The sequence below is a fragment of the Homo sapiens genome, chromosome 3 (assembly GCF_000001405.40).
Source record: "Homo sapiens chromosome 3, GRCh38.p14 Primary Assembly".
NCBI classification, from domain to species: Eukaryota; Metazoa; Chordata; class Mammalia; order Primates; family Hominidae; genus Homo; species Homo sapiens.
The window spans coordinates 131,833,889-131,851,173 of record NC_000003.12 but is presented as its reverse complement, the minus strand read 5'-3'; the positions used below and the strand labels follow the sequence as shown (position 1 = coordinate 131,851,173).

Here is a 17,285-nt window from a genome sequence, read left to right as displayed (position 1 = left end):
ATCCATTTGGTGAATTTTCTTATGTATTTACATACATACATGTACCTAATGGAATCTAAAATATCATATAAATGCTATGATGCAATGCACATTTTTTCAGTACATTCCCTCATTGTGTTGTTTTAGTTCATCAATATAATAGATGGTTCTGCAGTGAAGGTTCTTATGTTGTCTTGTACACAAGTGCGGGAGAAGTGGGAGGAGGTAGAATTGCTGCATCATGGAGCATGTACATATTTAATTTTAATGGGTATTATCCCAGCAAAATGGTTAAGAGCATAGCTCTGAAATCATATTACCCAGGTTTGAATTCCCACTCTGTTACTTACTAGATGTATGATTTGGATCTGGTTAACCACTCTACAAAATGGGGATAAAATCTCGTAGGATTATTATGGGGGTTAAATGAAATGATATGTGCAAAACACTGAAAATACTACCCAGCATATCCTCCACTATCAGTTCACTGAAGCCAAGCACCATGCCTTACAGATGTTGTGTCCCTAATAAAGTGCTGTACTTGGCACATAATAGGATGTCAGTAAATTCTTATTGAACAATCTTAGTTACATACCTAAATGGCTATTCTTCCACATAGCTGTAATAGCTCCTTGCATAAGATGAGAAGTGGAGTCACACTTGAAAAGAAGCATTTATTGAGATCTTCTACTGGCATACATCAGGCACCATGCTGGGTGTTCTACATTCCCTACTTAATTTAACTGCCCTACGATCAAATAATTGGGGCTCAGAGAAGTTAAGTAACTTGTCCGAGGCCACACAGCTAGTAAATTTGAATTCAAACTCAGTGTTGTCTGCTTTCTTATACACTCCGAGGACAGACAGCAGAATGCCTTCATTTCCTATAGACATCATCCCCATAGGAGAAGGTACACTTTTTCTGGAGATGTCATAACCCTACATCAAAAACCCTTAGAGAGCATTTTTTAGAAAGAGAAGGCACTATTTTAAAAATCTAGTTAACATTAAGTTGAGAAAAATTCTGGATATTGGCAAAAAAAATTTAAAAATGTTTTAAAATTCAGAGAAATGGAAATGATGGATTGTGTCAATTGTTGCAGCCAAAATAATACTCCAATATTAAGGGGATAACAGTCATGAATACTGCAAATTTTATACACAATAGAATATAGCATCTATACTCACAATGAAGAATAGAGTTACAGCACAGACCAAGAATATGATACTCCTAGCTTTTTATGCCTGGGTTTAGTACTGTGTCAATTTGCCATTGCTACAATGATGTTGTGGAACAAAGAACCACAGAAACTCTGTGGCACAGGAATAGGACTTTATTTAGCTCAGACATCTGTGGTTGGCTGACAGCCAGTTGATTTAGGCTGGGCTCCTTCACATTCTGTTTGGTTGGGGCAGCTCTGTTCCATGAATTTTTCATTTTCTTCTTGGGACCAAAGGGCTAGCCAGGCTATATTCTACTCATGGTAATGGCAAAAGTCCCGGAGAGCAAGAATAATCAAACAAGGACTCTTAAGGCTTGGGCTCAGAATTGACATACCTTCTGATATCGTTTGGATTTGTGTCCCCGCCCAAATCTTATGTCCAGTTGTAATACCCAATGCTAGAAGAGGGGCTTGGTGGGAGGTAATTGGATCATGGGTGTGGATTTTCCCCTCGCTGGTCTTGTAATATAGAGTGAGTTCCCATTAGATCTGCTTGTTCGAAAGTATGTAGCATCACCCCCTTCTCTCTATTCTTCCCGTCTGGCCATGTAAAACATTCCTGTTTCCCTCCCCTTCCATCACGATTGAACGTTTCCTGAGGCCTCTCCAGCCATGCTTACTGTAAAGCCTGAAGAACTGTGAGCCAATTAAATCTCTTTTATTTATAAATTACCCAGTTTCAGGTATTTCTTTATAGCAGTGCAAGAAAGGACTAATACACAATCCCTTCTGCTATATTCTATGGACAAAGGAAGTGACATGGACAAGGCCAAAGTCAAGATGTGGGGAAATATGCTCTGTACTTGTACTGAGAGGATCTTCAGGATCACTTAGCAAAGGGTATAATTCAGAAAGGGTGAAAAACTAAAACCAATGATGAAATCGACCATTAGGATTGTAATCAAAGGGTTCCCTGAGGAAATGTATTTTCTGTACCAACTTTGGTTGGGCAGGTAAAACAGAAAGAGGAGGTGGATGATATCTCTGTGTTTTTTTTTTTTTTTTTTTTTTTTTTGTAATCACTACTGTCATTCCACCAGTGAGGCTGTGATGAAAAAAAAACGCCTTCTTCAATCCTCCCTTCCCTATGGGCACATGGAGTGAAGAGTAATTTAAAATGAGCAGACTGCTTGTAGATTTTTCAGAACACCTGCATCTTATTTTAGAAGCAATTGACGCTCTTGGCCTGGTTTGTGCTTGGGCAATTTGGAGTGATTAAAGAATTTTGCATTTCTCAAGTGCTCCTGTGTTCAGATGAACCAAATTGGGGTTGAGCGCAAATCTGCAGGTTTTTTTTTTTTTTTTGGATGCACATTTAATTACTAATCACCTAAGAAAATGTCCAGGATATGAAGTTTCCAATGCCCCACTTAGAATTCACAGCAGAATAAATTTAGAAGCCTCCCTGGCAAACTCCAACTCATTGGCTTGGTACTTTTCTTCCTTTCCTTTCTTATATTTAACAACAAGTAGTCCTCCCCTCTTTGTTTTGTCATTTTTGCTCACATGTTGCAGGCTTGAAGGAAGTCAGCTTCAGAGGAATGCTCTTTAAAGGAAAATTTTAATTCTGGTGTGGGGACTAGTGTGATGAGATAAAGTAGGGAGAAAAGATGAGTGGGGAATGAATGGGATTAGAGACAGCCAAGAGATATTGAAACAAAGAGGATGTTTTAGAATGTATTAATACATTTTTCCCTTTTTTATTTGCTTGTGACCTCCACATTCAACTAGAGGAAGGCTTTGCCTCCAGGAAGGAAGCCATAAAGCAATAGCAGAAAGTGAATGTGTAGCTTTTGATTGTCTTGAAGGCTAAAAGGATTTCCTGAATTGCAGAAGCTCCCCTTACGTAAGACTCAAACTTATCTGGCAATAATCATATAATTTTATTCTAAACTCTGGTATAGAGAAGGCCCAGACTATGAGCACAAGAGGGGTACTATCTGACAAAAAGTGGACATACAAGTCTTCTGCAGAATGAAGAAGAAGAGTGTTTAGGAGATAAGTCTATGGTGCCACAGGGGACCCCAGCTGTGCAGAGCCACAGTTGCACTGAGGTCAGAGACCTACTACCTAAATCCTGGGTGAAGTGAACTACTTTCACCCTCGAGTTCAGAAGGGACTACAAGAGGAACAACACAGGACCAGGCAGCCCTCCACTGCTTCTAGGAGCATTCAAGCTTCCTCATCCTCCCAGACATGACCATAGAAAAGTGGGAGGGGTGGGGAGACCCCTTAAGAAAAAAGAGAAACAGCCTTGACAAGGAATTTGATGCTTGAGTTGACAGAGCACTAACCTAAAGGAGTGTAAAGAACTAGAAAGCGTATTTTAATGCAAAGAGTGTTACGTTTTATTGGTATATCCCCTGTAGGATTTGAATGGACCTATATTTTGGCATTTTTAATACCTAATTAGCAGCAACCCTGAATTCCACTACCTATCGACCCCCATTCTCTTTCCAGTTCTGCCTCAAGTTGGAAAATGATCAGATTTACTCTCTGAGCAGACAGGGCCAATAATACATTCATTTATGCTTAATCATATATGCCCAGGATAGCAGGAAGATAAATTATTCAGAACATTAGTTTCCAGAACTAGTTACACTAGCTAAGACTAAAGATATTAAAATAAAGGGAATTCCCTTCTTTACTGGAGGAGAGACAGAGAGGTAAAGGGCATATGTATAAAACATGTCAGACAAAGCTGATACTTAGTGGGCATAGTGGTGATGAGCAAAGCCAAGCACATATGAGCAAGTGGACCCAGGTCTAGCCATGGAGGGAGATGAGACAGAAACCTTAGGAGACCAGAATCTGCTAGAGGAATGGCAGGAACACACACCTGTGAGGAGCCAGCCATGAGATGACATTACACTTGAGAGAGACCATTAGGCCAAGTTAGTTAGAATCTGAGGGGAGATGGGGCAGATGCTATAATCATCATCCTTCATGCTCTTCCTGCGATATGACTTTGACTTCCCTCCCTTCAAGCTGTGGGCTGTAGGTGGGCTTGTGATACTATGTGACTTCAGAAGCAAAGATCATGGAAGGAAATAGAGCTTCTGCTTAATTTTCCGGGAGTGTCCACCTTTGGAATTAGCAGCTGTCATGCTGCAAGGAAGCCCTAGCAGCCACATGTAGGTTCAGCTTATGGAACTGAATGTAAAATCTCGATGCTCAGCCTGCCATCTGAAACAGTTTACCAGTGTAAAAGACATAGGGAAATACTTTCTTGTTTCTCTACTCAGGTCTGAACCAGAAAACTGAACAGTCATCTCCTTACTGTGTGGGTAGGAGTTCACAAAGCAGCCAGTTTATTCTATTTTTGCCATGTTTTCTGTAAATATTTCTAATAAATTCTGTCTGATTCATTACCTTTATCCACTTCCTGAGCAGTTCAAACCCTTAGCACCACTCTTACTACATCTATTTTGAGACAGTTTTTCCCTATCAACAGCCAAAGAATGGGGATAAAGGGAAGCTGGCTGTGCTGGGGAAACTGGAATGATGTAATGGGTTTTTACAGGTAAAGTTCTGACAATAAAGCACAGTGAGTGAGGGGGAAAGAATCCAGGTAGTTGGACATGCAGGGAATTTCTGTTAATTCATTCCCTCAAGAGTGTTGGAAATATATGCAGTAAGGAGAGAAGAAGATACCAGCGATTCCAGAGGATCTGTACTAAACGAACACCTCTTGGATCCTGGAAATCGTACTAGATGTTCTTGATGAATATGTACTTACTAAGTGCCAAGAACTTCTAAGTGATTTACATGTATTAACTCATTACAATAACTCCATGAGCTAACTACTATATTTTTACATATAGGAAATTTTACATATAGGAGATAGGCACAGAAATGTTAAGTGCCTTGCCCAAAATTGCTCAGCTTGTAAAAATTTGAATTTAGGCAGTCTGGCTTCACACCTTGTGCTATTGACCTCTATGCTATCAGGCTTTAAATGCTTAATTTAATTATAGTTAACTTTGCAGAATTGAGAATAAAAGCAAGGATGCAAACTGGCAATGTTTACCCCATTTCAGTAAGAAATGGAAACTCAATCCTCAATTCACCGTGATTAGTTTTCTGTCACAATACAAAGCATGTAAATATCCAGAATTTTTTTCCTCTAGTGTCCAATCTCTGCCACATTAAATACTAGACGATAGCGGAACAACCTCTACATAAACTTCAGGCCAGAAAGATTAGGTACCAATAATTTTATGCCCTCATCGAGTTGCTTTTATTGATTTTTTATTGATTTATTCAATCAATCAATCAACATGTTTATTAAGTGCTTATTGTGTTAAAGGCAATGAGTGGAAGTAGCTGAAAAATACCCTTAGACATATTTGAACTGCCTTGGGCCACATTCTATCTCTTGACTGTCGTGGGTTCTCAAAGGTATGGCATGTTTCTCATAATGAAGTTAAGTAGATTAAGGGATTTCTGTTACAGTTAACTTTTAGCCTTCAGAAGATTTGACTATGATTAAATGGGTGAGCAGTATAAATTCTGGAAGGCAGAACTGCATAGTAAAGAATAAAAACTCTGGTATCAGAGACAACTGGGTTTGAGTCCTCGGTTTGCTATTTGGATGTAACCTCAGGTAAAACATTTATCTTTTTTAAGCACCGATTTCCTGTTGTGAAGAAGGTTGTAAATAGTGTTGTTGTGAAGATTAAGTGAGATAATATATTTGAATGGTAGAGTATGATAGCTGGCACAGAATTACTATTCAATATAAGTTGATGATGGTGGGTGGTTATGATGATGCAACAGCCACATATAGTCAGAGGTCAGTATTTTAAATCATTTTTCTAAGGCTTTTAAGCAGGTCTTAAATCCAGTGAATACACATAAATGGAATCAAAACTTTGAGTCTATTTTTCACTTTGTTAGGTGATTTCACAAGTCATCGTTTTCTCTCCCCTGATTTTGAAATATAGTTTGAAGTAACTAGTGAGGGAAGCAATGGTTATTAAATAACAAAGGTATAAACTGGAAGTAGCAGATGAGATAAAGCTCATAGCTCATAGTAATTGCACTTTTTGAAGAGTATTATCTTGCGTAGTGTACATAATATGCTTACGTGTCATGTAGGAGCCATGAAGTTTTGAAGAACTTCAAAAGAGAAAGAAGGTTGAGGCTAAGGAAGATGCAATGTGGCTATGTATATAGGTTCTACAATTTAAAAATTAAAAATGGAATGGGAGAGAAAATGATAATAACACCTTAACTGATGGCTGTTGTGACTATTTTATGAGCTAATATCTTTTAAAACTATTTGGCATAGAGTAACTAGTAATATGTTAATAATTATTACAATAACAATTTAGCTTCAAGGAGCTCACAGTCTGGTGAACACACTGGACTTGAAAGAAGTGAGGAAAACATTGCATATAAGAACATACAGAGATGGGCTGGGCGTGGTGACTGAGCATTTTGGGAGGCCGAGGCAGGCAGATCATCTGAGGTCAGGAGTTCGAGGCCAGTTTGTCCAACATGGTGAAACCTCGTCTCTACTGAAAAATACAAACATTAGCCAGGTGTGGTGGCAGGCGCCTGTAGTCCCAGCTACTCAGGAGGCTGAGGCAGGAGAATTGCTTGAACCTGGGAGGCAGAGGTTGCAGTGAGCTGAGATTGTGCCACTGCACTCCAGCTCCAGCCTGGGTGACGGAGCGAGACTCCATCTCGGAAAAAAAAAAAAAAAAAGAACATACAGAGATTCTTGGGCTAATTCATAAAGAGTGCTTTTACCTGTCTGAGGAACTAAGCAAAATGTCATAATGACCTTAGAGAGTGAGCAGACATTTGTGTATGCTGTAACTGCAACACAGACTGGGGCTAAAGAGGGGACGAGGATGAGGTGTGTGCAGAGTAGTAACCAGAGATAAGGAAATGGAGGGACAAACTTCTTTCTAATTTTCCCTCTCCATCTTTCTGTTGTTTTTTGCTGCTCACCTTCCCCATGCTTCCCACATCTTCTAGCAGCTCTATCCAAGGGACATTTGGTTGTGTGTGTTAAGGCCATATTTAGACCAAGTCAGGGAGAAGAAATCCATGCTCTTTGTAAAGGTTTCATGGCAATACATCCCCTCAATCTCCTCCCTCAATATAAGGCTAAGGAAACCAGAACAGAGGGGCACATTTTGACCCACCGATAAAGGGGACAAGGCCCCTAGAGTGTGCCAGACTCACACTTCCAGTGCTTGATATATGGAGTATCATTTCATCCTCATAGGAACCCTGCAAGGGAGATCTCCTTGTTCCCACTTAGCACAAAATAAAACTGACGCTCAGGGAGATTTTTAAAAAGCTGGAACTAGGACAATTTCAAACAACAATCTAGAAATAAGGTACTACCTGTTCAAACAGCCTGCTGAATATTTGGGGAGAAAATAACTCCTTTTCACCGTGGACACTGTCAACACACGTTACTTCATCTTTTAAAAATGTATCTAAAATGTGTTGAATTGCTTAATAAATACTCACACTTTCAATGTAAACGCTCTTCTTTTCTATGTGCTCCATATCGCTTTGCCCTCTTTATTTGAGCAACGTACCCTGTAGTGTGTAAATAAGAGATGACAGCTCCTATAATACGTGTGGGTGAGGAATGGGTTCGATAAAACAGAAGCATGCACAATTCAAATAGCAAGCCCTGTCCCACTCAGTTTATGCACAAATAACTTGCAGATTCTCTGATTTTCTGCCAGCAACTGCCTCCTCTTCCCCTCCCCACTGCCTTCCAGAAGTCTCTCAGAATCATATCCGGCACGGTGTATAGAGATAGGAGTAATAGGGATAAGACTTGTTTTTTCTGAATTTTAATTATTGTCATTTAGCATTTGCTCAGTGTTTTGTGATGAAAATCGTTGGGTTTTACTTATTTTTACTATGGGCAAATTGAGATGCCTTTAATCATAAAGGCAGCCCCAACCCAAGGTACCCTTGCATAATAGCGGAAGGGGTGAGATTAGGAGTAAGCCTTTAGAGCACCGGTGCAGGACTCAGGATATGGATTTGTGGCTTGTTCTTATATGCCGTATTTGTCTTATGGGTAAATGCTGTATATCGTTTTGATTTTTCCTATCGTGGAACACTTTTCAGTTATATGTCTGGTGGAATCAAGTGTTTCATGTTACTTTTAAATGTACATAGGTGGCTTAATTTTTTTTATTTACAATTCAGCACTTCAGATGTGAAGAGATATGGCTTTTTCTTTTTTTTTTTTTTTTTTTACAACAGAATATAACTTGCTTCTGAGCCCTCATTTCTGATTGGTGGTGATGGAAAACTTAGCTTGCCTGTTGGAGGTAACTGTCACTTCCAATTCACTGCAGTCTTGTCCAGGTTAACACAATCATGTTGGTGTAAATAGTCAACTGAGGATTTAAATAGTCAATTCAAAATGCAAACTTCTTATCTAAGTGATTCTCCCCTCTCAAGGAATTTCCCCTTCCTGTCCTCTTTCCAGTATGTTATCTGGGTTCAGAGTGGGTACTTGTATAACTACACAACACAGAGGAAGAGAGTCCAGTTCTCATGCAGTCATCTGGATCCCTGCTGGCCACCTCTGAAGTAGATGTCTATATCCACTGTGCTAAGTGGTCTTGGAAATGGATCCAGTTGGTCATTAGTGGAGCTCTAGAACCTGCTGATGATTCATGGTCCCTGCCAACTTCCTCTCTATGCCCTCCTCATTCAAAGTGAAGGTTTCTTTCAGCTTATTGGCCCTTTGGCCCATTCCCATTCTTTGTAGAAACTTCTGCAGACCACATTCAGCCACTGGAAAACCAAAATATGCTTTCTCATCTCTCTCCTCTCCTTCACGATGCCATTCTGCCATTTCTGTTTTGTGGTAGACAGGTTGGCCCAGGCACTCTAAGGCCCAGGCTGGCACAGGTTGGCCCAGGCACTTCAAGCCTAAGTCCATTTACAGTTTCTATTCCATCTATTCCTAAAGAAGGAGGCAGAGGGCAGGTCTCAACTCGTGTTTCAGCACTGCTGTTTTACACACACGCACACACCCTCTCTCCAGGCATCTCTAACTCAGGCAGAACTTTTATTTCCTCCCAATATGGCAGAAACCACCTTCAATTTCATATCAGGATATTTCCTTCTTTATTGTTTATAGTTTACTTTGCAACTGAGGTGATCTCCAAAGAGGCTGATAGATGAGGACTAATTGCTAACTGCACTCCCAGCTGCAACAGGCATGAAGGAAGATATGGGTGGTCCATCTCCATGTTCATTACAGTGATAGGTCAGCTGTCTCCAACCTTTTTGGCATCAGGGACTAGTTTTGTGGAAGACAATTTTTCCATGGACATGGGGTGGGGAAGGAAGGAGATGATTTTGGGTTGAAACTGTTCCACTTCAGACTCAGATCATCAGGCGTTAGATTATCATAAGGACCACGTAACCTAGATCCCTCACATGTGCAGTTCACAGTTAATGCTCCTATGAGAATCTAATGCCGCCACTGATTTGACAGGAGGCAGAGCTAAATGCTTACTTGCCCTCTGCTCACCTCCTGCTCTGCAGCCTGGTTCCTAACAGGCCACAGACTGGTACTGGTCCATGGTCCAGGGGTTGGGGACCCCTGTGTGATGATTTCTATGCATGCTTAGTGATGTAATTTTGCTTTTCTAAATACCCTGTGTTCACATCTAAATTCTCTGTGCTCTTTTCCTATTTAGAAATCTATTTGCCTCATGACAGTGAAAGGGGAGGCAGTTTATACTTCTTTGGAAGGGAATAACCACTTCCTTATGGGACTTTAAACCAAACATTGATTCCCTATCCTTTTTTCTGCCAACAAGAGGTTGAAACATGAAGACCTGATACTTCCTATGTAACTCCTCTCTTCCTGAAGTGGCTTGATGGTTCTGTCTAACCATTTGAGCTTAGTATGGTGATAGACTACACTTATTTGAAGAACGAAAACAACATTTCTCTCCCTTAAGAAGTGGTGATGAATGGGGGAAGAACAGAGTTCTGTTCTCTTCCCACAGAGAAATGTGTGGGTGCAGGCAGGAGGGAGAGAGCAGAAAGAGAAGGAAAGGTTAAAAGGAAGTCACACCACTCCTTGAGAAGTTTCCTCAAGAAGATGACACAGCAGGTGGCCCCACATCAAGATAAATGGTCACACCTGAGACTCCCCTGAGTTGGTGTGAATGCCTGTTTATATAACTATTACCAGAAAACCACTCCAAGTGCATTTTCTACCAAGATTGGGCCATTAACAAGCCAGAATTCGTATTCTAGAAGCCTATATGGGGATATGGGGACATACAACTGGCATGGCACAAAAAGCTAGTTAATAAGCACCATAAAGGACTCCTCAAAGGGCTGCCAAGAACTCAGGGTGGTGTCTGAATGTGTTCAAGAGCCACATCATCTCATCTGAAGTTAGCAACTGCAGCACTAACACAAATATTTGTCTTGCTGCTTTGACAGTCCTTTGATTAGAATTCTAGAGTTAACTAGCTAGATATACCACACACTCAGCTGAGCAGAAATTTAAATCAAACTGTAGAATTAAAATCCTGTTGATAAATATTTTGGCTGACTGTTTCCTACTGAGGCTGGCATTTAGCCAACATATTTGTTAACTGAGCTGTGATTTGTTCTTTTGGATTCCAATTCACTAGTTCTGTGTCACTCTTTGGCTGCTGACAGGGCTCACTGCAGAGGAAATTCAAATAAAAACTAATAATGATCCAAATGACTAATGGAATAAAATTGGAAACTAATTGAGAAAATTATAGAGGAGAAAATCAGCTGAACTTGGAGTAGAAGATATAAGGCTGACTATGCTAACTCCTTCATTAAAATGTTTCTACTCACCCTGACAGATGTGGCTTTTCCCTTTACTAACCTAACCCCTCATGGCACTCACCAAGTTCTCCCTCATGCTACATGAATGTATGTATGTATATTCATGATTGTTTCCTCCTGATTGGACATTAAAGTCCATGAAGTTAAGTGCACTTCATCCATCTGACATTGCCTCGTATAGGGCCTCATACATGATAGATAATTGAACTGCAAAAGAATAGAGCTATAATGAAACTTTGCAATGGCATAACGTAACCCCTCCTTTAACAGGTGATAGAATTGAGAACTAGAATATTTTAACAATCTGCCTGGGGTTACCTGGTAGTGGCAACACAATAACTAGGTGCCAGTTCTCTTCACTTTCAAGCCAATAGTCTTTTTTTCTTTTTATAACATTATTACATGCTCACATGTTACACATACATATGCTGTGACAAACCCATGTGTGACAAAAATATAAAGTACAAAATAAATGTATACTATAAACCCACCACTCAGAATAATCACTATCAATATTGTACTATATATGTATAAATGAATATATGTGCATAAAATAAACAGGTTAATATATTGATATATAAAATTAAAATGCATATGCAAATATGTAATCTCACTATGTTAATAAATATAAATGTTTATCAACACTATTAACTAAATATATAAATCAGCATAAATTAAGTAAATATAAATATATTTTAATATAATGTATGATATATATTTTGTACCTTGATTTTAAAATTAATTTTACATTATATTATAAGCATTTTCCCATGGTGTTATATTGTCTCCATCAATATTATCTTTATAGATTACCTTGAAAAGTCCATTGTGTGGACATAACACGATTTTTTTGACTTATTCTCTATAATGTAGGTTTTTTAATTATTCAAAATGTTCACCATTTTAATGCAAGTATTTTCTTTCAAAAAATCTTTCATCATTAAAATGCAAAGATATGGAGGGCAGCATTGCACACAATTCTTGTCCTCACCTCAGATTTTTTTTTACAAAGGTGATTTCTAAAACCAGATAATGAACTATTTAAGGCTTTTGATACATATTACAAGATTGTTTTCTAAAAAGCTTACACCAATCTGTACTCCATTATTATCTGACTCTTTTGAATAAGGTGTTATATCAAAATTGCTTTATTTTAAAAGGCTTTTTTTATTAGCTGAAAACTAAGAATATATTTTATTTGGTCTAAGAAAACTTATAACTCAGAAATTTTATATTTTAAGTCATTGTAAATCACATATATTTACTAAATACATTCACATATGTGCATATATATATATACACACATATTCATGTATACGAATATACATATAGTAACTAGAATTTACTGAAGGTATTGAAATACTTTTAAAATGATGTCCTATCACCTGAGCTTATTGTTTTAAAAATAAAAACAAGTACTTTTATAGTATAAAAGTACTTTAATACCTTCTGTATTAAAGTTCTATGAGATTCTTATATAGGTTTTTCTCTCTGTCAGATTTTCTTTTGGTAAAAGCCTTTAAGGAATACTTTAATGTTCATCAACATTATTATTATTTTAATCTGAAATTTTAATGTTATTTCCTTTACTATTGATTTTCAGGATTTGTAGGGTTTATTTTTAAATATATTGTATCACCCACGGAAATAAACTAGTTAAGTGCTTTGCATACCTGTGTATTTCTTACTGGTCTCTGTGGGGTAAATTTGTCAGCAATAACAGCTGAATTTTCTCTGTTCTCTGTTGCATTATCTTGGGTGCTCTAATAAGACTAGTGCTTCTAAGCACTGACTAACAGAACTATATCATAATCTTGTTCTTTGTATTTTTTCTAATATATATTGAATATGAAGCCTTTAAAATATCCATTTGCATAGAAAGAGTCAACATGAATGTCTTATAATTTTGTCAAATGTATTAGTAAAACAAATTTTAAGGTCATTAGTTTTCAAAATCATTTTTTGACATTTTTATTTTGAAATAATTTTAGACTTAACATAGAAGCTGCAAAAATTGTACAGAGACTAGGAAAAGCACATCTATTGAGACAGAAAGTTGCCTAAAGCTGAGGATGGGAACAAAGGTGACTGCAAATGATTCTAAGGTTTCTTCTGAGGGTGATGAAAATACTCTAAAAATGGTGGTAATGGTTTTGCAACTCTGTAAACTTACTAAAAACTGTTCAATTATACACTTGAAATGAGTGAATTTAATATTATGTATATGATACTTCAATAATGCTCTTAAAAATATATTACAGAAAGTTCCCCTGTACCCTTTATCCTGTTTCCCCCAAGAGAACATCATATATAAATAACCTTAGTACAATTATCAAGACTGAATTTGAATTTGGTACAATAATATTACCTAAATGACAGATATTATTTGGATTTCACCAGTTTTTCCATGTACTTTCTCTCTTCATCTTCTTTTCATTTTTGGTGGAGGGTAGTATATAGTTCTATCAATTTTATTACATGTATTACATGTGTAGATTTGTACAACCATCACCACTATCAGGATATAGATCTATTCTATCACTCACCCCCCAAAAAAAATCTCCCTGTGTTATCCCTTTATAGTCACTTATTTCCCCATCCACAACTTTGGCATCACTAATCCGTTCTCCATCACTGTAATTTTGTCATTTGAGAATCTTATATAAAGTGAAATCACACACTGTGTAACTATTTGGGATTGGCTTTTTCACCTCAGAATAATGTCTTCAGAGCCATCCTTTTTGGGTATCAATAGTTTGTCCCTTTTTATTGCTGTGTAATATCTCATGATATAGACATCCAACAATTTATTCAACTGGTACAGGACATTTGTACTGTTTCCAGTTTGAGGTGATGAACATTTATGTACAGGTTTTTATGTAAATGTACATTTTCATTTTTCTAGTGTAAACACTCAGGAATGGGGTTGCTCAGTCATATTTGTCAGTTTATAAGAAACTATCACACTGCTTCCCAAACTGGTGGTACCATTTTACATTCCCACCAACAGTACATGAGAGATCAAGTTGTTCTGCTATCTCATCAGCAGTAGGTATTGCCAATATTGCCATTATTTTAGCAATGCTAATAGATGTGTAGTAGTATCTCATTGTGGCTTTAATTTGCATATTCCTAATATCTAGTGATATTGAACATCTTTTCATATGCCTATTTGCCATCTGTGTATCTTTGGTGAAGTGTATTTTTAAGTATTTTACCCGCTTTTTAAATTGGATGGCTTGTTTTCTTACTGTTGAGTTTAGAGAATTCTTTATATATTCTGGTTATACAAGTCTTTTGTTGGACATATGACTTGCAAATATTTTTTCCCAATCTGTAGCTTGAGTTTTCATTCTCATAACAGTGCCTTTAGCAAAACACAAATTTTTCATTTTGATAAACTCTAATTTACCAACTTTCTGTTATGGTTCATGCTTTTGATTTCATGTCTAAGAACTCTTTGCCTAATCCTTGGTCATGCAGAGACAGATATTCTTCCTTTTCAAACTATATTTCTTTTGCTTGCCTGGTTGCACTGTGCTATCTTGAAAAGAAGTGGTGAGAGTAGACATGCTTGCCTTGTTCCTGATCTTTGGGAGAAAGAATTCAGTCTGACACCATTAAATATAATGTTAGCTGTAGGTTATTTTGTAGATTCTCTTTATCATGCTGAGGAAGTTCCCTTCTGTTTCTACTTTGCTGAGAGTTTTTAGCACAAATGGGTGTTAAATTTTATCAAAGGCTTTTCTGCTTTAATTAATATAATCGTACACTTTTTTTCTTTTAGACTGTAAATATGGGAGATTGCATTAACTAATTTTTGAGTATTGAACCAGCTTTGCATCCTAGAATGAACCCCACTTGGTCAGGGTATAGGTGTCTTATCCCTTTTATGTATTTACATTTTGTTGAGAATTTTTGGATCTATGATCATAAGGGCATGGTTCAACTCTCAGTTTCATTTTTTAAAGCCTTTAAAAATGCTATTCTGATCTGCGCCACTTGTGCACTGCTACCCAGAGGCCAACCTGAAACCAGTGTGATATTTCATGCCATAATTCATTCAGTTCTCAAAGTTTTTGCTGTGTTGATTGTGGTCAGTTTCCTGCATAGGTCACTTCAGGGTAAGCCTAGGACTTCATACAAAGATTGAAAAGATTCCTTTCCTACCTCTCTCTTCTTAGTAATCCTCTCCAACTGTGGGAATGGGGGAAGGTAGAGAGATGCTGCCTTTGCTTACCTTTGCTTAGTGAGGGACTGGGGTAGTTCTACAGAGCTCCACTCTACTCTATCTGCAGCAGCCATGCTTGGGGAGGAGGAGAGTCACCACCTCTTCATTGACATGTGCCACCTCAGGAAGGGGTAGGTTAATAGGGCTCCATTGCACAGACCCTTTGGAAAGTACACTTATTGGGGAGAGGCAAAAAAGGGGCATCCCTACCTATATGTCACAGATAGGCTGGTGGGGAGTGAGAAGGGAACTGCGTCCTTGGTGGTATTATTAGGGCAGGTAGGGTAAAAGGCTTCTGTCTTACAAAGCCTCCTTCTTGTCAGTCCTCTGAATGGAGGAAACAGGTTTTTCCTGGGACTTTTTTTTTTTGAGATGGAGTCTTTCTCTGTTGCCCAGGCTGGAGTGCAGTGGCACGAACTTGGCTCACTGCAATCTCTACTTCCTAGGTTCAAGCGATTCTCCTGCCTCAGCCTCCAGAGTAGCTGAGAATACAGGCACGCCCCACCATGCCCAGCTAATTTTTGTATTTTTAGTAGAGATGGTATTTCACCACGTTGGCCAGAATGGTCTCAAACTCCTGACCTCAGCTGATCTGCCCACCTTGGCCTTCCAAAGTGCTGGGATTACAGGCTTGAGCCTCCGCACCTGGCCCCTGGGCCTTTTTATTCTGTACCCTTTTGTGGTCTGAGTTGCTGGCTTCTCTAGCACACAAACCAAGATATAGATGAGACAAAAATATATAGGGAACTCACAGTCAAGGCTTCCTTCATCACTAGCCCAACCATCTTTTTGAATCCATCTTTCAAAATCTTCTGGATAAGTGCTTTAAGTGTATCCAGGGTGTTTGTTGAAATTAGCAGAAGTAGGGTGGAATGTGCTTATTCCATCCTGACTGGAACTTGAAGCTATCATTCTATTTTTATTACTAGTGAGATAGAATTTGTTTTCTATGTTTGTCATTAATTTTTATTTCCTGTCTTAATTACTTACTCATGTCCTTTGGCCAATTTCAAATGAGACCTAGATGTTGTTCTTATTATTTAATACCAAAACTTTATATATTTACTTTATACACTACCTGTTTACAGTAACTGTATTTTCTGTCAAGTAATTTCTCCAGGTTTTCTTTTTGTTTTCATTATTTTGCATAAATCTATAGTTTTTTTCTACTGTGATTTCTTCTTTTTACCTCCTAAGATCAGATAAGCAATCAGTTAAGACTTTAGTTTTATGTATTTGTTTTACCTTTAAATCATAATCTATCTTGAATTGATTTTTATTTTTTTGTGAAAAGTTGTGGTAACTTGATTTTTTTTTCTCTCCAAATAGTTATTGATTGTCCTGGAACTCTTGTTTACTTAGTGATTCTTTACTAACACATATAATTACTGAATGAATACGCTTTTTCTTCAAAGAAGAATTTCTTCACCACCCACAGCTTTAAGCCTAACAAATCATCTATTGAAATTTAAATAAGAAAATAAAGTCTAACTTCTCTTATAAAAGGTGACATAGAATCTCCTTGTGTTCACTCTTCTACCCCTCCCTCACCAATCCACATCTAAAGGAATAAACAAGTGTATGAGCCAAACAAAAGAAATAAGAAACACAAATTAAAAGGAGATAATTAAGTCTGGCTGTTCCATAATACTAATAAAGGAAGAAAATTCAGGAAGATAAAGGTTATTATAAAATCTAAAAAGGGAATTTAAACCACAAGCTTTCACTGTAGTCTGCATTTTCCTCCCTGGCTTTTGTGTTTAAAAAAATGAGAAACATATAAATATTTATTGCCATCTTTTCAAAATATAAAATTAAAATTGGTGTTCCATAAATAAGTGATTGTATCTTTCTCAGTTTGCAGATATTTCATGCTTTCCTGCTTAATTTTTTGAATTATTCAAATAATTTTAACTAACCACTTTAATAGCTATATAAATATAAAGACATATCTTCACCCTCAATTGCTCTGGCTTTTGTACAGAAGGGGGAAATATGCCCCAAATGTC

General features: G+C 37.7%; 1 protein-coding gene and 1 long non-coding RNA gene across 11 annotated transcripts in view; one reads left to right on the top strand and one right to left on the bottom strand.

Annotated features, from left to right (window-relative positions):
• Positions 1-17,285, top strand: part of CPNE4 (copine 4) — a 506,038-nt gene that overhangs the window by 188,433 nt on the left and 300,320 nt on the right. The gene's annotated exons all lie outside the window — the stretch shown is intronic.
• Positions 1-17,285, bottom strand: part of LOC105374113 (uncharacterized) — a 69,117-nt gene that overhangs the window by 20,753 nt on the left and 31,079 nt on the right. For 2 of the 3 annotated variants that reach the window (XR_007096089.1, XR_007096088.1), the window contains exon 3: positions 7,695-7,766. The exons of the other annotated variant lie outside the window; for it this stretch is intronic. This is a non-coding gene — a long non-coding RNA (uncharacterized LOC105374113). The remainder of the gene's footprint in view (positions 1-7,694; positions 7,767-17,285) is intronic. 3 annotated transcript variants of the gene reach the window in all.